The sequence below is a fragment of the Homo sapiens genome, chromosome 6 (genome assembly GCF_000001405.40).
Source record: "Homo sapiens chromosome 6, GRCh38.p14 Primary Assembly".
Classification (NCBI taxonomy): domain Eukaryota; kingdom Metazoa; phylum Chordata; class Mammalia; order Primates; family Hominidae; genus Homo; species Homo sapiens.
In genome coordinates, this window is record NC_000006.12 from 146297192 (window position 1) to 146319753 (window position 22562).

Here is a 22562-nt window from a genome sequence, read left to right on the forward strand (position 1 = left end):
ACTCTTTCGCTCAGGCTGGAGTACAGTGGCGCGATCTCAGCTCACTGCAACCTCTGCCTCCCAGGTTCAAGCAATTCTCCTGCCTCAGCCTCCCCAGTAGATGGGACTACAGGCGCGTGCCACCATGACTGGCTAATTTTTTGTATTTTTAGTAGAGATGGGGTTTCACTGTGTTAGCCAGGATGGTCTCAATCTCCTGACCTCGTGATCCGCCTGCCTCGGTCTCCCAAAGTGCTGGTATTACAGGCATGAGCCACCACGCCCAGCCAAAAAGTCCAAACAATTTTTTTTTAAATATTCTACTTTTAATGCAAAACGTCAGGGGATACTTTGGATACTTAGGATGAATTAGCAATTCATAGAACTATTGACCCCAAACTGATGAGGACATTTTTGTTTTTCTTCAAATGGCAGGATCTAGAAATTAGAGATTAGAATCACTTGCACTGGGTCTGTTAGGGGGGATTTGTTAATGAGTTACTAAACCATTGGATTCACGTTTGAAAAGTCACAAATTGCTGTGCTTTGACCTTTTGTTCAAATAAGAAAAATAAATCAGTTTTTAAAAAGAACTAAAAGAGATTCTGACAACCTGGTTGGCATCTCAGAATACAAGGGAGCAGCCCTGGAAAATTAACCCTCTATATGTGCACTGCTGACTATTCTGCTACCATGGTCTTTAGATGCTCATTTCTTAGTCTCTCTTTCCCTTTCACTCTGTGTTCTTTTCTTCCTTTCTTCTGCAAATTACTGAAAACATACAGTTACCTTCTCTGTGGTGCTGAAGAATTATTCTTGTTGCCTGAGGCCCCTGAGCTGGGAGTTTCATTTTAGTCATTGCAATGACACTGCAACCCAAGAAACTGCCCAGCCAGGCATGATTGCCAAGAATAGCTCAATATCCTCACAATTTAGTCATAACTCATTCATTCTCTACATTCATTTTATAAACCCCTAACTTCTTATTATTCATGATACCTACCCTCCCTGACTCCATATATACTTTTGTGCCCTTTTCACATATGACTTTAAATTGGCTGAGGGTCAGACTATCTATGGTCCTTATTAAGGAACACTTTTTTTCTCTCTTTTTTACAGAAATTGTGCATAGCTCTTGCTTCCAGTCACCTGTCTGAAGCAGAGCCCTACTCAACTCCAGGGCTGCTTTAGAATGAGAGATCACTAAAAAATAGGTGGTAATAGAAATTTTAGTAACGAGGCTGAGCCTATTGGATGAGTTCACTATGGGACCTAGTGAAGCCAAAGTCTAAAACTTCACATTCCACTCAAACCTTGCAGAATTTCAACTTCAAAACTGGGTCCATTCTAACAGAATCCTAGTGAAGTCCTGTAGCCAACAGTTTGCAATAACACAAGATGATTTTGAGGCCATATGGAAAACTCTCAGAACAAAATGTTAAGACTTTTCTGGAGGGGACTTTGCATATCTTTGTGAGGTGTTTGAACAGTGAGGTGTTTCTGAGCTCCTAATGACATAGAAATAGGGTCTACTGAGTAAGGTGTGAGGAAGAGAGCTGTGGCTTGCTCTAAGCCCTGATGGGCTCATTTATTTCTCTAGTTTTGCTCTCAGAAGTGACTCATTAATCTAGGTTATCAAAATGGGACCGTCTTCTCGTAGAAAATGTCATCTTCACTTCCTAGCAAAGACTTTACAAAAGCTATGAAAACACATCAAAAATTTAGGTATCAAATATACAGTAGATAGCTGAAAAACAAAAGTGTCTACTCAAATATCCTTTCTTCTGATTAACGTAAACCTGCTTAGTCTAGAGTTTCATGGCAATGGGTAATGTTCAGTCATAGCTGCTTGTTCCTGTCTTAGGATTTTTGCACAAGCTGCCCAAAGACTTCCTTCCCTCTGATCTTCACCTGGCTTGTGCCTTCATGTAGCTCAGATCTTAGTGTTAAGTGTTTTCTCTTCAAAGTTGCTTCTCAAAGCACTTGATACTTTTCCTGGCCACCCAATCAAAAATATATTCCTCTTCATTCCTATTACGTGACTCTTTAAAAATTCCTCTATCTAACCTACATCACCGTGTGATAATTTATTATAATTGTAACTTTAATATCACTTTCTCCTTCCATCCACATATGGATTTACATGCCTGGTAATTTTTTATTGGATGCTAAACAGTGAGAATTTTACCTTGTTGAGTACCAAGTATTTTGCATTAAAAAAAATGTTCTGGAACTAGTTCTGGGAGGAAGTTAAATATTTGGATCCTCTTATATTTTGCTTTTATGGTTTGTTAGGCAGGCCCAGAGTGGTATTTAGTCAAAAGCCAATTTTTCTTCACTATTGAGGCAAGACCCTTCTTAATACATTATCCAATTCTCCTTGGAATATAAAGTTTTTCACTCTAGCTGTTAGAAACAGTTACTATTCCCAACAATACATGGCCTCCAGGTGCTACTCCTTCAAATCATATTGGTTGATTATTCCTCAGCCTCAGGTAATTTCATTAAATAAATGGCTAATATTCATCTGAATACTTGTGGGAGATGTACTGCAGACCATTCTCTTTTGCCGTAGCATCTCTTCTGCAGCATTTGCCCTGTAAACCCTGGCCTCCCTAGCTTTGCTAGACTTCCAGCTCCTTTTTCTCAACTCTGCAAATCCACTGGGCTGTACCTGAGTTCCCCACAACCTCAACCTTGTGCCATGATTTGAAAACATCCAAGCAGTACGCCAAAAAAAAGTAGTGTTCACCTCATTTCTTGCTCAAGAAATTAATAAATTTATTCATTTGATAAATGTCAAATGAATATGACACGTGCTATATTTCTTCAACCGTTGTGAATATGGTTAACATTGTAAATAAAAGAATGTCATATTTGTTTACATATGTTTTAAAAATATCGTTTGATTATGGTTTTCGTCTTTTCCCTATTATATTGTAATCTCTGGAATATTTTAAAGAATTATAATTTTATTATCAGGTACACACAATTACTTGAACTCATAACACAAATAAAATTGCTTTAGCACCTAGACTGTAATTATTTTAATTGAATGAAAATAGGTTTTTCTAAAATGTTTTTGCACATTTAAAAAATACTATTGTATTTCTGTTTTTTACTGTCAGTTTGCTAATTAAATTAGTTTAACTGATATAATGCAAAAGTAACATTCATACAGCCCCTGTCAAATTGTAATTGGTGGAAGCAGAAATGGTATTTTCCTGTTATTAATATTAGAATGTATAAGATAGAAGAAATCTTCTAACTATTCAGGTTTGAAATGTGAAATTTTATAGGTTGATTGGAAAATAGCCTCATGAAGAATTGCTGTATAAAAATATTGAGGGGGAATAGGAAATAAGAATTCTCGTATGTTAGTGAGAAATACTTAAGACATACAGCTTTCTGTTAAACAGTTCACAATATATAGTTTTATTTCCAGACCCCAGCTAGAAAACGGAACTCATAACTGAGAAGCAGATGGAGCAGCAGAAGCTGCTAGAGGCAGTGAATGTGCTTCACAGAGAGTCCAGTGCTGTCTGAGGCTGGGTCACTACCCAGCACAGCAGGATTCACTCCAGACACTTGGCGAGTGACCAGGTACCTGCAGGTCATCTCAGGTCAAGCACAGTCTAGTTTACACCCTGCCACCACCATCTAAGAAAGATCCTCTACCAGGAATCAGATATGTTGCTGGTTTGCTCTTTTAAAGTGTACTTCAGAGAAAATTCATCAAAACAACATCCTCACACAGAATCCTAATGCAACGAAACAGCAAAAATCCTTTAAAATTTTCTGAAAATGCATTTGACAGGTGATACAAAGATGAAACACTTTGAAAGTATAAAAACAGAGGATTGCTTTAGAGATGTTTTCTAGTGACTTTTTTTCATGATAGCATTCTCTAACACCTTACCTGTGATAGATTTAAGATCTCATACAAACCTTTAGCAATTAACTCTTTAAAACATATCCACCAAGAAATCCTACTTGAATGTTTTCCTTATATCCTGGTTCTCCTTGATTTTATGACCTCTTAGATTTAACAACAACTCTAACTTCTGAAAGAGCAGGCACCTATAGTGAGGGTGAAGGTCTTTAACTAGTGGTTAAGGAGACTTAGAATTCCAGACCACTAAACCATGTGACTTAAAATTTCTACATATTCACAGATAAAGTTTTCGTCCTATAAAGTGCCCTTCAATGCTGGTGGGCTCAAGGGCAGGAAGTCACACTTTTCTCTCCTTCTAGAATTGACACAAAGCATTTGCCTTTACAAACTAAGCTGTCATGTGCTTTTAAATTGCACATGAACATCACAGCAAGTTCATTTCGTACACATTTTTATGATGGTGACTTTCTTGTACAGACTGTAAACAAAACAAATTTCACATCTTATTAAACCTTAGGGAGAAACACACTTCAACCCTAACCTTTATGTCAAAAGCAGTTATTTTTTTCAAGTTATGTCATTTCAATTTTTAAATATTTACCCTTAGACAGAATTTCTTCAAAGCCTAACTGGTCTTATTTTTATCCTCCTTTGTGTCATGAACTATAGCTCAAATCTTCAAATTGCTCTAGATGTAGTTAAGATGTAAATATAAATACATTTAAATGTAAATAAACCGGTTTGAGCCTTTCTGAGCAGACTGGACATATGAAAAAAATGAATGAGTCAGTCTTTTTAAAATCAATTTGACTGGCCATCATATTCAGCGATGGTAAGCAGAGGACTCACTAGAACAATAGGCAGGTCATTTACCATGAGGGAGGAGAGCAGAATGACCTGATTGAGTAATAGGCTTACAACACTTTGAGGACTTCCCATGGTCTTCAGACTAACAGTGTCTAGGCTGGGATTTATGCACCCACCCCCATCGCATGCCATACTTCTTTCTATTCTCTAGCTATACTAACTCTTTCTAAGTTCCTTGAATGTGCCAAACTTTTTCTTGTATGTTAATCTGCCAGGAACCTTCTATACCAAACCCTCCCCTTCTCCTCACCTGACTAAGCCTGACTCCTCTTTTGGGTCTCAGCTCAGCCATCACCTTCTTAAAGAAGCCATCTCTAATTACCTCTGTCCCCCACTACCTCACACACACAGGCGTGCGTGCACACACACAAGCAGGCACACGTGTCATATCTGCACACTAGATTAAGTTAAACCCCCAAGCTATCGCTCCCCATGATACTGGTCACTTTTTTTTTTTGAGACAGGGTCTTGCTCTGTTGCCTAGGCTGGAGTGCAGTGGCAAGATCATGACTCACTGCAGCCTCAGCTTCCTGGGCTCACAGGATCCTCCCACCTCAGCCTCCCAAATAGCTGGGACCACAGGTGTGGACCAACACATCCAGATAATTTTATTTATTTATTTATTTATTTATTTATTTTGTAGAGATGGGGTTTTTCCATGTTGCCTAGGCTGGTCTCAAATTCCTGAGCTCAAGCAATCTACCTCCCTTGGCCTCCCAAAGTCCTAGGATTAAAGGCACTTCTTTTTCTTTAGCCTCATAGAGTTTGTAATTCTTTTTTAGTGTCTGTTTTCCCCACAAGGCTGTAGCACCGTGGGGGCAGAGGATAGTGAGTCTTATTCTCATTTGAATTCATAGCAGAACATCTGGCACACAGTGACTGCTAGGAACACACAGAAGTAGCAAAGAAAAGAAGAAAGAAAAAAGAAAGAAGGAAGAAGGAAAGAAGGAAGGAACGAAGGGAGGAAGGGAGGGAGGGAGGAAGGAAGGAAGGAAGGAAGGAAGGATCTATACAAAAAGAGTCTCTACCCTAGTGGATTTGGAAGCATATAAAAAATACATTCTCTGATGTGGCTGGCTAGACTCTACTGTAGCTCAAAGTCCCTTTAGTTCTGGGTCAGGTTAAGTCAGCTATACCTTCAGCAACCCCTGATCTGTTGAAAATGCAGCTCATGTGTGGTTCAATGGGAAGATTCTAGAGAAGAACTGCACTGCTTAGCTCAGCTAAGAGTACATTTATCTCAATTGATCTCAGGTAACCAAGGGTGAGATATGGTCACTAATGTTTGCCCAGTCCCTTCTCTGTGAGAAGCAAGCAATAAAATGCTTTCTTTGGCAGAGACTGCATCTTTATATTCCACAAACTTCAGGGCACCACTCTGTGCAGAGAAGAATAAATCCATCCCCTGACCAAGACAGCCTTAATATTCTCTTCAGCTTGACTAAACTTTAGACAGGTTTCTTCCTGAGTACAGGCCCCTGACGTCCCTTTTCTAAGAGCATTTACTTTGGAAAACCTAAAACTGTAAATTATTTCTCTGCCTTTTTGAGATGTAGATCGTCTAGTTTCTTGCTAATTTCAGAAACCAAGGAAGTTTTACTGAATGACAAGGACCTGACAGCCATCCCTTTAAATGTAATCATCAAGAATAGTGGTAAACCCCTCCCTTCCAGTTTCTGTGGGATGGCAGGAGTCTAATGTGACAATTAGCAAACACAGATGCCTAATCACATGGGCCGACCTCGTGCCAGTGGCCCTCCAGTACTTTTCCACTAGCTCACCCGGGACTAAAAACCTTCCCATCTTTTATTTTAGCAGAGTTGGGTTCAGTGTCTCTCATATGTTGTAATAGTCTTGAACAGAGTCTTCTTTGCATGTTTAGCTTTGTCTGGTGGAATTTGTCTTTGATACCCTCATAGGCCTGGCTCACATGTGCACCTGAATTAAACTGGGGCTACATTACGTCTGGTAGATAGGAATGTTCTAGAAGGTGATCACATTTCAAAAATTCTATCTAACTGAATAAAATGTCAGTGTGCTCCCATTTAGTGAGAAGGAGAATTCTTTTTATAATTTGAGATGAGATTGTTTTTCTTTAATGCTGCTATTTTGAAGTAACATTAAAAAAATGAAAATATCTGGCTACTTCTATGGGAGGCAGATTTGAATGATGTCCCAGGAGGAAAAACTGTGGTTGGCATGTTTCAGAACTATATCAGTTTTCTTATCTATGTAAGGTAGCTCATGTAATGATCTTCGTTGCAATGCTGAAACCTTGTTGAGCTCTTATTTTGAAGGTCAGCCTCTGAGGTACCTAGATTTTATTTTCTTCTGGTTTGGAGAGTGACTGATAGGCTTTGTGGCTGAATGTCTTCCCTCTCAGTAAAAGTGAATGGCGCAGAATCTGATGACTAGTGAATACTCATCGAACTTTAATTGTAAGTGTTGCTGTCATCATCTCATCATCACTTTCACAATTGTGAAAAACAAAGAAACAAACAGGATATTATGCTTTCAAAACTTTCTACTCTCTACCAAAAAAAAAGTTGATGGGTAGTAATGCTGGCTTAAAATAGTCTGTAGCCTTTTCTGGATTGCTTCATTCATATATAACTCTGAGCTCTATTTGTGAGATGTTTGTCTTTCTCTCTCCCTACCCCAATCCCTGCATTTTTTAGTGATGGATGGGCAGACAGAGATGAAGTCATTGAAGGTTATGAGGTGGAAGCCAACGGGGGAATCACGATAAAGCTGCAGTCTCCAGAGGTCAGGTCATTTGATGATTATTTCCTGAAACTGAGGCTGGACACTAACACGAGGAATCCCTGGTTCCCTGAGTTCTGGCAACATCGGTTCCAGTGCCGCCTTCCAGGACACCTTCTGGAAAATCCCAACTTTAAACGAATCTGCACAGGTAACTCATGTTCACAAAATAACAACTCAGAGGTTTGGTCATCTCTTCTAGATTTATTGCAACTTGTTGAATGAGAATAGAAGGTGCCAGGGCTAGAGATCCAAAGACAAAATTGCCATCTGTGTTTATAAAATGCTAGAATAAGGAGGAATTGTGTATTACCCCAGGGATTCATGGCAATCTGGAAAGACAACTTTGGTCTCTGTTGGAGCAAGTGATACGAGATAACAGAAGTAAAGGAAAAGCAAACTGAGGAGTCAGGTATCTAGTATTTAAGACAGAAGGAAGAGATTTTATTACAAACATGTTTAGGAGACCTTAGCCATAGACATAAGTCAGCAATACTGGTTAGATCCTCTTTTTTCTTTGTGGCTTGTTTAGATACAGAAGTCAGGAGAAGATGAGGTAATGTGACCCTAAGCCACACGACCAACAAAAGTGTTTGTGGGCATAGGGGCCAAGAAACTGCACTCTGATCTTTCAGTCAGAACAATGGTTCACAGCTGGACAGATGAGCCCCATGCACTACTCACTGATGCCATGACAGGAAACAGCAGCACATTGTTCCAAGTTCTTCAGGGGTGTGGTGAAATCCACAGGATGTCCTCCTTGCAACCCCTAGTACTACCATAACCCAGATTCTGAAAACTGTAACTTTTATGAGTATTATTATTACTGCATAGGGACATTGCTGTCCCCTGTCCTTTTCAGTATTTTCTATGCTGCCAAGATAAATCATCTATGTCCTTTCATAATGCCATTCAAAGCCAGTTGTTCTTACTGGGTCGATAGCATAGAATAATGGAGCACTCATGATAATGGGTGATGGAATCTATCCATGACCTAATTTGTATTGTAGAACAGTGGTGCGACATGTATATCCTGTATGTAGGCTACGCAGATATTATTTATAAAGGTATAGAATCATATTACGCCCATGTATAAAACACTGTATATAGCAAACAAAGGGGGATAGAGAAGCGTATAATCCATGACTCTTGACCTAGAGAGGCTTGCCATCTCTTTGGGCAAATCAAAACAGATCACATACATGAAATAGACAAATAACAATAGAGGACAACGAGTTTTTGCAGGGGATGGTAAGAATATGGCTAATTACATAAAATATTTCTATTTTCAATAGTATTCATAGTTTGATGTTAGAAAATGCTTTCAGATACCAATATATGTAAATGCATCAATGTATGTTTGGCTTCATAAGGTTCAGCAGAGTTCAATGGGAAATTGCCTGGTATGGATCTATTTTCAAATAAGGAAGTTTCAATCTTTTAGAACTTCCTCAGTGTGGCTTCTAGGGAGGCGGCGAAAGGCAGGAGAAAGGGGAGACATTGCTAAACAATAACCCACCTCTGCCACGTAGGTGTTTCTACTTTCTCTGAAATAATAGACATCTCCTTTCTCTGAAATAATAGATAAACCAAGAATAAGCATTCTAATGAACCAATAAATCATCCAAGACAGTCTCCTTATTTGCAAAACAGAGGTGATGAGGGTGAACAGGGGAAACAGTTTCCCTAGGCTCATAAGGTTAATGGCAGCAAAGAAACGACAACCCACACCTCCTAGACAACATAGTGCCTATTTTTAGACTTAGTATTTGGTAATATATTATCTCTCATTGCTTTCTAATTGTTTCCTAAGAAATGTTTGCCATCTTCAACTGTAATATCTTTGTAGTCAAAGCATCCTTACTTGCTTCATAGAACCCTATACAACATGGATCTCTGGGAGCTCAGTCAATTCTTGTTAGCTAATTGATCAGTTAATTTACATTTTCATTCAGGGTAGGGAGTTTTGCTGAAGGGCCCAAGGAGAAGAGCAGTGAGGAGCCTACTGAAAAAGCAGGTGAAGGTGGTGAATTGGGCCCGGTAGTGGGAAGCAAAGTGGAGAGAAGTGGTTTGATGGTGAAGACATGTTGAGTGAAGGTTGAGATTTGCTGACAGAATTGTCAAGAATAACTGTAATCTGAGCAACTGGAAAGATGGTGTCACCATTGACTGAGACAGAGGAAGACTTCAGGAAAAAAAGATTAGGGAAAGTCCAAGAGGCTGATTTTGGATAAATTAAGTCTGAGATATCTGATGGTGGTCCAACTACAGATGTCATTTTGTCATTGTGTTTTATTAGTAAAATTCAGGATACTACTTATGCTTAGATCATTTATATAAGGATTTCTAGGAAGATATTTTGTTGAGCTCTCAAAACAAGTTAAAACTCTGCAACAAGGTACACTAATATTTTGGGTTTTTAATTGTGACAGTACATAAATGTCAAGGTTAAAGCTTAAACTGTGTTAGTATTCACAGCAAGAAATAACAATTTACAAATCTTGATTTATTTTTATGCTGTGCTTGAATCTCAAAGCTGTGTTTAAGAGCTTCTTATATGATTACAATCTTTATGAAACATGTTTATATTTGCATTTCATTCTGGAGTCAAGTTCAGCAAATATTTCTCTTTTTTAGGTCTAAGGAAGGCAGGAGGTTTATTTAACTTTTCTATTTGAATTAATTCATAAAACTTATTTATGTTTTATGCAGCAAAATTCTTATACTTTTATCTTTAGCAGTGTTTATCTATATTATCTATGATGTATACATTCATGTATACCTACCTTGGTCTTCGGTTTTAATCTCTATATTTCTGTGAAATTGGCTTCAATGTTATTGAAGAACAATAAACTTTCACTTCATGTATTATTCTTATCCATTTGAGATCCTTGAATATCAAATGAATTCCATAATCTTCTAACAAATATGCAGACACATCTATGAAAATTAGTGTGAGGAAGGAGAATTAACCTTTCCATACTATTGATAGCTACTGTTTCTGTCACTCCTTTTTACCTCTTCTAATTGGGTCACTTCTAGTGGTTTGGAAAGTTTTGATATTGCTATTAGTTTCCATAGAAACCATTATTGAACTTAATCCCAGATGTCACTATTTAAATAAAGAGTTTATGTGCACTAGATTGCCAGTTTGAATATTAAAGGTCCCAAACCCAGGCTGAGTAGTTTAGGAATCACTGTGGCTAATTAAAAAGTATTTCATGTAAAGTACACATCACTGCTTAATTAGTTGAGTATATCAAGGGATTGGAGGTGTGTTAGAAAAGCACTAACTGAAACATCAAAACATAACTTCTAAAAAATTAATCATTGTAGGACAGTGGAAAGAGCTGTAAAGCAAATCAGAGTCACTCTCTTCCAGTAAATGTCTTAGCTGCTTAAAAGATTTGTATCATGTTTGCAATGGCATAGTGCTTTTTCATTCCTGATGAGACTTATTAGAAATTCCATAGAAGCTGATAGGGTGTAGCATTTTGAAGCACTATCACTGGGTCCAATACCAGTTCAGTTATGTATCAGCCGCACGACTTGCATGACCTCACTTAACCTCAGAACCTCAGTTTTGGTAACATGACAACAATATCCACCTCACACAGAACTCTGCATGAATTAAATGAAATAACACAAATGAACTACTTTACAATAAAATAATACAAGTGAAATACTTTGCAAACTGAAAATACTTAACATAAATGTAAAATGTTACTACTAGTGTCATGTCTTATTAGAAAACAGGGCATGACATAGATCATTTCATAAAAATTATATATTTTGTAATTGTAAGTTTAACTTAACTACATCCCAGGATGTGGAAACTAGAAAAAACAAGACAACAATCTTTAATCAATCACCCTTACATAGTTAGTGCCAATATAGATATTTTCTCTTATATTTTCCCATGCAGTCTTTTATAATTTTTTTCTGATGATGAAAGTAATACGTGCTTAATATGCTATTGCATGCACTTGGAAATATACAGAAGCATTAGAAAGCTGAAGAGAATTAAGAATTTGCTCTTATCTAAACATCATTAGTCACTGTTAAAATTTTGGCATGTTTTCATCTTTCTCTATATAGTTTTAAATTATGTATTAATATTATTTTATATATTGCTGTATTAAAAGAAATGTTTTATACATTGATACATTTGTCTTTGTCGTTAAATTCTTTTATTCTTAATGGCTGCTTAACATTTTGCATTCACATAAGCTATAATTTAGGCATTTCATTCTTTCTATTTAGGCTGTTTTTGCTTATTCACAATTTTCAAAAATGTTGCAGTGATATAATAAAAAAATTTTCATTCTAAACTTTCTTTTTTTACATTTGGATAATTTTCTTAAGTTGTATTTCTAGAAGTTAAATTTCTAGAAGTTTAATCAAGAGATATAAACATTTCTGGCTGGGCATGGTGGCTCATGCCTGTAATCTCAGTGCTTTGGGAGGCTAAGGTGGGCAGATGGCTTGAGGTCAGGAGTTCGAGACCAGCCTGGCCAACATGGTGAAGCCCCATCTCTACTAAAAATACAAAAATTAGTTGGGCTTGGTGGCGGGTGCCTATAATCCTAGCTACTCGGGAGGCTGAGGCAGGAGAATCGCTTGAGCCTGGGAGGCAGAGGTTGCAGTGAGCCGAGATCGCGCCACTGCACTCTAGCCTGAGTGACAGAGCGAGACTCTGTCTCAAAAAAAAAAAAACAGAACATTTTTAAGCTTTTGAAAAGGAGTTCCAAAAGGCAGCTCCTACTAACGCTGCTTGAAACTCTATGCATTCTTTTCATTTTATTTTGCATAATTATCATCACAGTGTGCATACAATTCTCTATCTTATTTCACTCAGGATTATATTTTACATAGTTTTGATGTTGCTTCATGGTCTTTATAACCACCATTTTAAAAGCTCCATAATATTCTAACCAGTTAAAATACTATAACTACTGGCCATTCTTATGTTGTCAGTCATTTAGACGACTTTTAATTTTCCTTCTTACATAAAAAAAAAAGCACTGAATATGATACACAGATTTTTCACAGTTGTTGTTACTGTTTTGGGATTGTTCCTTTACAGTAGATTCCTAAATATAATTATTAGTAATAACTTGATAAATTTGGGGTCCCTTAAAAATATAAACTGCATTTTCTTGCAATATGGCAATATTTGCATACTTAATATTTGCTCCGGCTAGCAGTATATTAACTGTATGAGTTCATGGGGTTTATTCTGTCCTTATCAGCCTTTTTCACACCTCAGTGAAGTTATAGCCATTATTTTATTTTCTCTCCATATTCTTTGTACCAATTGAGAACAGATGGACACAATGACTTTTAAAATTAGTCTATATTACATTTGGCTATTTTAGAAGACATAATGAAAGAATCTGGCTGGTATCTAATTCTCACCAACAGCTCAGGACTGGTAAGATGATGATAGCTAGTCTAGTGAAAACATTTTAAGACTTTGAAGCAAGGGGACTCTTACTCCAATAGTTTGGAGGCTGCCATTCACAATTTTAGACTGATACTAATTTTCATAATATATTTGCCTTATTAGGTTTCAAATTTTATGGACTCCACTTGGAATTAACTTATTTTATAAGGCCAGATAAGATCAGTCCATTAGAGTTTGATCCAGATTAAGATGTTCCATAAACTGAGATGGGTTCCAGTTTACTTCAGCCCATTAGGTCCTTTGGTAATAACTTCTCTTTATCTTGGGAAGTTTGACCCAAATGTCAATATGCACTCCTGAAGAATATCATTTGCTTTCAACCCAGAAGTTGGTATTATTAGTTGGGGTTTGTGGAAGACATTACATTTCTTCACCCCTTTTTGTATCCATGCTCTTTGAAATATGGCTTTGTAGCATCTCTCCTCGAGAGGTAGAGTTTTGTTCCCTACCTGTTGAATCTGAATTGACCTTACCATTTATTAACTCTAAGTTTAGGCCTTAAGAGACTTGACCTACTCTCATTTTCTTTCCTGGAACCTTACCTTAGCCATATGAATAAGCTTGAATTTATCTGGTAGAAGATGAGAAATAACATGGATCAGAAACAGGATGACCTCTCAGTTGAGAATGTCCTAGATCAGCCAGTCCCTGGCCAACCCACCACCTGACAGTTGACGCCTGAGTGAGCCAAGCTGAGATGAGTTATGTCCAACTCAGAGCAGCAGAACTTCCTAGTTGACTCCTAGATTCATGAACTAAATAAATTATTATTGTTTTAAACCACTAAGCCCTGGGATGGTTTGTTATGCGGCTTTTTTGGGGCAATTGATAACTGATAAAGGTATTCATAGCTTTGTAATCCATGGAGCAATAGTTGGTTTAATTAAATTATGGGACATAATTCCTCAACCCAATAGTAGAATGCTCAGTCTTTTCCCATCATAAGAAGAATGGTGCAATATTGCACCCAGGATCTCGTCGAGCAAAGCCAAAAAGTTTTATAGATCCTGCAATCAAAAGAATTTTAAAGCCCCCTTGATCCTAGGCAGTTAAACTATTCCACTTAGGAAATCTGCTGTGCATACAGGAAGTGCTGAAAAAATGAGGTACAGTTATAGCTTAGTCAAACAAATACTCTCAAAATAAAACAGTCATATGTTCTCATACAGTGCTGTTATAAGTTGCTTTATGGGAATAGGTTTTACAAGTCTTAGAAGTGTTTATATATCTTAGTTGGAAGAATGAAAGTGAACTGACTGTGTGTCTCATCTGGACCTTATAATTTCTCAGACAAATCTGATTATCACACAGATGAAGCTCTGAGAGTAACTATTCAATAGGCACAATATTGGCCTACCTATCTCTTATTAACACTTTTGATTGGCACTGCCAAATGTGTTAGCCACTAGCCACATGTGTCTATTTGTATTTAAATTTAAATCAGTGAAAATCACGTGAAATGAAACCTTCAGTTCCTCAGTTTCACTAGCCACAGTTCATGTATCAATACAGGTACTAGAATATACATTTTTCTGTTTAAAATAGTTTATTTCTTATAAACATAATAGTAACAGTGATACATGAGTAACAGCATGAACTTACAAATTGTGAAAAAAAATACTTTTGGTTTCGTAGTTTTACATAGCATGATAGGTAACAATACTTTGTTAATGTGCTGTTTTGATTGATCATATGATTTTTCCTGCTCTATTTTCTGGAACCTTATTTATTAGGTGATTGAAATTTATACTTTTAGTAACCTCATTTTCATTACATATGATTGAGAATGTTATCATTTGCTCTTGGAAAATGCAAGATCACACATAATTTTTTATTTTAATTTTGAGAAGGATCTTTCTGCTGATGCAATTGTTACAGTAACTGTTAAGAATATTTAGGCCTGGTGCGGTGGCTCACGCCTGTAATCCCAGCACTTTGGGAGGCCGAGGTGGGCGGATCAAGAGGTCAGGAGATGGAGACCATCTTGGCTAACACACTGAAACCCCATCTCTACTAAAAACACAAAAAATTAGCCGGGCACAGTGGCGGGCACCTGTAATCCCAGCTACTCAGGAGGCTGAGGCAGGAGAATGGCGTGAACCCAGGAGGCGGAGCTTGCAGTGAGCTGACATAGCGCCACTGCAGTCCGGCCTGGGTGAAAGAGCCTGGGTGAAAGAACTCCGTCTCAAAAAAAAAAAAAAAAAAAAAAAAAAAAAAGAATATTTAGTAAGCTTTGACTCCATTGAGACAAATTTTTTGATAAATCATCCCAAAAGACAAATTTTAGCATAGAGTTGATGATTATCTTTGAACAACTTTTCTAAAAAGATTTAACTCTTCATACAGATCTGGTTTTTGCAAATCTGAATTTGAGTGTAAATTTATGAAATAACCATTTTAATGTCATTCTTCTGACATTTTCTGTAATTAGTGACTACCATATTGGACAGCATAGATGCAGAAAACTTCTACTATTGCAGAAAGATCTATTGAACAATGCTGCTCTAGACTGTGTTCTATTTTCCTAACTCCACAAATGCAAGTTTGATTGTTTCTGTAGTATTTGGATATAATTCACAAGTTAGTGATTTGAGACTGATCAACTTGTTGAATATCCTGACGAATTACAACAGCTGAAAGTTGACTCACTCTTTGGTATGAGCCAACGCTGCCAGCTTGCTTGGTAATTCCTACAGATCTGATGCCCAACATAGGGTGGACTGGTTCCCACACAGACCAGGCATGTCTTAAAGAGCCTAGTTAAGTTCTTTAATCCATGTCATTTTTAATATTGGATGGAATCAGAGAAACATGCACATGTTCTGTCATCCAAAAATTATAAAGATTGATGCAGGGGCATGAGTTATTGGTTCTTTTACCTTATATTCATCTTGATTTGTTTCCCAAAAGCTCAAATAATTTTTAGTAGCAGATACAGACTTGAGGTATAAAAATGGAAATTATCTGAGGCATCTAATGGCATCGAGAGAGTAAACAGTTACTATTTTATCTTTTATATGCAAGTGAATTTTATTTTTACTATGCCTGCAAACCAGTTACCTAGAGATTGACCTAAGTTTCATATACTTTAGTTATTACTAGAATTTGGTTATAACTATTAATAAGTTCTTTAATTAGATCAGTTTTCTTCTTATTGAATAAAATATGTATTTCTGAAGTTGAATGGTCTGTCATGTGGTTCAGCTTGCCTTCCAAACAAGTTTGAAGTGAGTGTTTTCAATGATTAAAATCTATGACTGTTCATAAATATTTCACCCTGGATGAGTATCTATTTAGGTTAGTATCTATTTAGATTGTTTCTATGGCATTTTCCCATGTCGTCTAAAAGTGTCGCTTCTCATCAGGAGAATAGTTTTGTATTTCACGCCTTGTATACATTTGCTGCTGGGAAAATTCATATAAAATAAAGTCATATTTTCAGCCATCATAAAAAGTAACAGTTGTTCAGGATGGGTGTGACCCATTATACTTGGGGTCTGGCCCATTTACTCTTTTCTTCCTTTTTATAGTTTTATTAAGGTATAATAGCTACATTACACACATTTAAAGTGCACCAAAAAAATTGATCAATTTTGATGTATGTATATGCCCAAGAAACATTTACTGCAATTAAGATACTGAACATATTGCTTCTCAAATTCCTTTGTGCCTCATTGAAAATCCCTCTCGTCTACCCCTCTTCATCCCATCCCCAGGCAGTCACTTATTGATTTTCTGACACTATATTTTATTTGTAATTTCTATACTTTAATATAAATTGAATTTTTATAAAAGAGTACATTATAAACTCTTTTCTGCCTGCCTTCTTTTACTCAGCACAATTATTTTGAGATTCATGATTGCACTGTATATATCAATAGTTAATTCCTTTTTTTTTTTTTTTTTTTTTTTTTTTTTTTTGGAGACAGAGTCTTGCTCTGTTGCCCAGGCTGGAATGCAATAGCTGGATCTTGGCTCATTGCGACCTCTGCCTCCCAGGTTCAAGCGATTCTCCTGCCTCAATCTCACGAGTAGCTGAGATTACAGGCATGTGCTACCATGCCCGATTAATTTTTTTTTTTTTGGTATTTTTAGTAGAGATGGGGTTTCACTATGTTGGCTAGGCTGATCTCGAACTCCTGACCTCAAGTAATCCACCTGCCTTGGCCTCCCAAAGTGCTGGAACAACACTTAACTCCTATTAATTGAAGAGTAGTGCTCCATTATTTGTGTATCATAATGTGGTTATTTATTCACCTGGTAATGAACATTTGAGTTGTTTCCAGGTTTTGGTTATTTCAAATAAAGCTGCTATGAATATCTTTATACAAATCTTTGCATAAGCATATTCTTTCATTTTTCTTTGGTCAGTTCTTTGGAGTGTAATGGCTGCATCATGTGGTAAGTGTGTGTTTAACTTCTTTTAATTCACCTGTTGGTCTTATTCACTATGGAGATATATGATTGGGAAAATAGCATCACAAAGGGATTGAACACTGAGAAGGCTTGTTAAAGTTCAAATACCAGTGAGACTTCTGAACTGCTTCTTGAAGAGTGTATTCCATCATTCCATTTTTTTTTTATTTGCAGATGGCAGTTAAGGTGAAGGGGTTATTTTATGTTCATATTATGAGCCAAGTCTTGGGTCATAATAGCTATAAAACATGATTTCTAATTAGCTAGATTTCTTATTAGCTACTATGGAATCAAGGTTGTCGTATCTCTGAACAATTTCCTGAGTATGTTCCCTAGTGATTAATTCTCCAGTGACTGCGTTTCCGAAAAACTAGCCTCTTACCCAAAGTTAAAATATTCATTTGTGCCCTAATGACTGGGAGATTGCCTTGTATAATCAACCCACAAGTTATATTTATGGTATAGTTCCCATGTCTCTAGGCCACAGTAATGCACTGGGGAGTTATATTTTATATCCAAGAGCTATTTGTCAAACTTCACACCAATGAGCTGTGTGAGGCCAGGAGTTCAAGACCAGCCTGGGAACTACTGCAAGACCCTGTCTCTCCAAAAAGTTAGCTGGGCACTTTTAGAGGACATGGAAAAATGCCATAGAAACAATCTAAATAGATACTAACATGCACCTGTAGTCCTAGCTGCTTGGGAGGCTGAGGTGGGAGGATCACTTGAGCCCAGGAGATCAAGGCTACAGTGAGCTATGATTGTGGCACTGCACTCCAGCCTGGGCAGCAGAATGAGAATCTGCCTCTTAAAAATAAAAGTAAAAAAGAAATGCCAGTGAATTGAATCCTTAGAGATGTAAATAGATCTGGACTGAATACTCCAGTCAGCTTAATACTATTATGCAATCCATTTGGCTAAATTAATAGCTTAAGCCTTTGAATGATGTAAATAAAAATCTGGTCCTTCAGAGCTGTAGTTCTCAAGCATGGCTTATTAAGACCATCGGGAAAGCTTTTACACAAAACTTTCCTATATTAATCTGGGTCCTACGCCATACAAATAGAATCAGAATCTTTGGAGTGAGGCCAAGCATTTATTTTAAGGACAAGAAGAAATTCATACTTAAAATTTATGAGCCATTTAAATTTTCAAAATTCAGAACCATCTGTCACTGTCCAAGTTGAGAGCCTGCTAAGGTTTTGGCCCTGGCTGTGGCATCTGAGATAGCTAATGAGATTTTAGTAATTCATGATCTGAATCAGTCTCTTTTGTTTATTTATTTATTGGTAGGCTTGTTTTGCATTTGAAGTATTGGCATTCCGAAACCAGTAAGTCATAACCAAATACTGTATGCCTCCCTGTCCAGATTGGGTAATTCTTAGATGTATTAATTTTGTATTGCTGTCATAACAAATTACCACAGACTCAGTGGCTTGAAGCAACACAAATTTATTATGTTACAATTCTGTAGGTTAGAAGCCTATGACGTAACCTCTAAGACCCTGACAAGAGTCTCCCTGGGGTAACATTAGAGGGTCAGCAGGCCTGCATTCCTTATGAAGACCCTAGGAGAGAATGTTCCCTTGCTTTTTCTGGCTTTTAGAGGCCACTCACGTGTCTTGGCTCATGGCCCCCTTCCTTCATATCCAAAGCCAGGAACTTTACATCTATCTGACTTTTCTTCCTCAACCACACCTCTCTCTGGACGTGACCAGGGAAATTTCTCCACTGTTAAGGATTCATGTGATTGAGACCTAGGTAACCCAGGATAATCTCTCCATCTCAAGGGACAATTAGTCACATTCGCAAAGTCTCTTTTACCATGGAAATGAATTTATTCACAAGTTCAGTGATTAGGACGTGGCATCTTTGTGGGACTGTTACGTTGTCTACCACACTAGGTGTCAAGACAGCACGGCATCAGCCTCTCTAAGTCCCTACCGGCTGATTCTTTAGTGCCTTCTACTGCTGCAGGCTGATTCTGTAGGATATAAGTCTTTGGAAACAGATTCGAAAAGTCATTTGTATTGTGTTCCTGTGAAAGGTAAAACATCCAGGCAGTTGACGACATATATTTCTTGCATCCACTCTCAGGGAAGTCTCTTATTTCGCATCATCATCCTCCTTGGCGTCCTCTGACGGAGCATGCTCCTCTGATTGGGGACTGTCTTTTTGAGGGCCGGGGGACTGTCTTTTTGAGGGCCTGGGGACTGTCTTTTTGAGGGCCAGGCGGCTGTCTGCCTCTACTACCTGACCCTAAAATGTTGAAGGCCCAAGGTCCATTTCAGATATTTGATGCTCACAGTCTCTTTTAGTCTAGGCTGCCAGCTTTTTAATTTTTCTAAGAAAAATCTTATTTTAAATGTAGTTTCCTTTTTAACTAGTTTATCAGGCACAACCTGCGTTAATAGCCATGCCTACAATTCTTGTTAGACAAGCCTCGCCTTCCAGACTTACTTTGAGGTACATTGAACCTAACAGACTCCTAGTGAAAAGCCACAGTCTTAGTCTCTTGTTTCTTAGCCATTTCCTTCATCTGAAAGATTTATGTGTGCCAAATTATTATTTTCAGAGATTTTTAACAAAAGAATATGAGTCTTGATATGGTTCTTGCCATTAATCTGAGTTTTCATGGGTCTTTTGTGGTACAAAGACCTTGTCAGCTTGCTCTTTAAGAGTTCGAAATAAAAATCCATTTCACTTTTATCTTTGCACATTTAATTTTTCTACTTCCTTGCCTAAACATGTAAGCTCAGTTGATAAAACTGCTGCCTTCCAAGTTATTGCAGGTGACAATACTAATGAGTGTTTTGCCATTGCATAATAATGGAATAATTATGTCCTTTTAGACCCTGGTCACAGTTTCTTTGCAAATTGCTTCCTGTATCTATATGCCTTGTATTTTATGTTTCATTGTTGGTTTCGTTGTGTTATAGGAACCCCCCTACTTTTTGGTACCAATTTCTGTATTTGTCAGGATAGGCTAGATATACTGTGACAAGAAATTAAAAATAGTTTAATGCCTTATAACAATAAATAATTATTTCTCATTCATGCAACATGTTCATTATATGTTAGTTAAAACTCCCTTATGTTTTCTGGAAGCCAAACTATAGAACAGCTTCTATCTGGAACATTGATAGTTGCAGCATAAAGAACAAAACATAGCCAATGTGAACTTAGTTTAAAACTTCCACTAAAAGTTATATGTGTCACTTCCACTCACATTTCATTGACCAAAGCAAGTTTTGTAGTCAAGCCAGTTATTAATGGAGAGAGGAAATATAACCCATCTCAGGGGAAGGGTATCTAATATATGGGAACAATCTTCAATCTATCAAACTAATAAACCAGGCTTAGTACTATAGCCATTTATTCATAAGAGGGCAAATCTTATGGTTGGAATCTTTAAAATTTTAAACTTTTTAAAAACTTATACTTTAAGTTTTGGGATACATGTGCAGAATGCACAGGTTTGTTACGTAGATATACATGTGCCATGGTGGTTTGCTGGACTCATCAACCTGTCATCTACATTAGGTATTCCTCCTAATGCTATCACTCCCCTAGCCCCCTATCCCCCAACAGGCCCCAGTGTGTGATGTTCCCCTCCCTGTGTCCATGTGTTCTCATTGTTCAACTCCCACTTATGAGTGAGAACATGCAGTGTTTGCTTTTCTATTCCTGTGTTAGTTTGCTGAGAATGATGGTTTCCAGCTTCATCCATGTCCCTGCAAAGGACATGAACTCGTCATCCTTTTTTATGGCTGCATAGTATTCAATTATGTATATGTGCCACATTTTCTTTATCCAGTCTATCATTGATGGGCATTTGGGTTGGTTCCGAGTCTTTGCTATTGTGAAAAGTGCTGCAATAAACATACGTGTGCATGTGTATTTATGGTAAAATCATTTATAATCCTTTGGGTATATACCCAGTAATGGGATTGCTGGGTCAAATGGTATTTCTGGTTCTAGGTCCTTGAGGACTCACCATACTGTCTTCCACTATGGTTGAACTAATTTACACTCCCACCAACAATGTAAAAGTGTTCCTATTTCTCCACATCCTCTCCAGAATCTGTTGTTTCCTGACTTTTTAATGATCACCATTCTAAATGGCAAGAGATGGTATCTCATTGAGGTTTTGATTTGCATTTCTCTAGTGGCCAGTGATGATGAGCTTTTTTTCATGTTTGTTGGCCACATAAATGTCTTCTTTTGAGAAGTGTCTGTTCATATCTTTCACCCACTTTTTGATGGGGTTGTTTTTTTCTTGTAAATTTGTTTAAGTTCCTTGTAGATTCTGGATATTAGCCCTTTGTCAGATGGATAGGTTACAAAAATGTTCTCCCATTTTGTAGGTTGCCTGTTCACTCTGATGAATAGTTTCTTTTGTGTGCAGAAGCTCTTTAATTAGATACCATTTGTCAATTTTGGCTTTTGTTGCCATTGCTTTTGGTATTTTACTCACAACGTCTTTGCCCATACCTGTGTCCTGAATGGTATTGCCTAGGTTTTCTTCTAGGGTTTTTATGACTTCAGGTCTTACATTTAGAGTCTTTAATCCATCTTGAGTTAATTTTTGTATAAGGTGTAAGGAAGGGGTCCAGTTTTCCCAACACAATTTATTAAATGGGGAATCCTTTCCCCATTGCATGTTTTTGTCAGGTTTGTCAAAGATCAGATGGTTGTACATGTGTTGTACATTATTTCTGAGGCCTATGTTCTGTTCCATTGGTTAATATATATGTTTTGGTACCAGTACCTGCTGTTTTGGGTACTGTAGACTTGTAGTATAGCTTGAAGTCAGGTAGTGTGATGCCTCCAGCTTTGTTCTTTTTGGTTAGGATTGTCTTGGCTATATGGGCCCTTTGTTGGTTTCATATGAAATTTAAAGTAGTTTTTTCTAATTCTGTGAAGAAAGTCAATGGTAGCTTGATGGGGAGAGCATTGAATCTATAAATTACCTTGGGCAGTATGGCCATTTTCAAGATATTGATTCTTCCTATCCATGAGCATGGGATGTTTTTCTATTTGTGTCCTCTCTTATTTCCTTGAGCCGTGGTTTGTAGTTCTCCTTGAAGAGGTCCTTCACATCCCTTGTAAGTTGTATTCCTAGGTATTTTATTCTCTTTGTAGCAATTGTGAATAGGAGTTCACTCATGATTT

At 37.3% G+C, this 22562-nt stretch overlaps 1 protein-coding gene across 8 annotated transcripts in view; it reads left to right on the forward strand.

The window, feature by feature from the left end:
* The window catches only part of GRM1 (glutamate metabotropic receptor 1), a 409895-nt gene that overhangs the window by 269485 nt on the left and 117848 nt on the right, over positions 1 to 22562 (forward strand). For all 8 annotated transcript variants that reach the window (NM_001278065.2, XM_017010784.2, XM_011535782.2 and 5 more), the window contains one exon: positions 7420 to 7655. In NM_001278065.2, coding sequence (NP_001264994.1) covers positions 7420 to 7655 — 236 coding nt within the window. The remainder of the gene's footprint in view (positions 1 to 7419; positions 7656 to 22562) is intronic.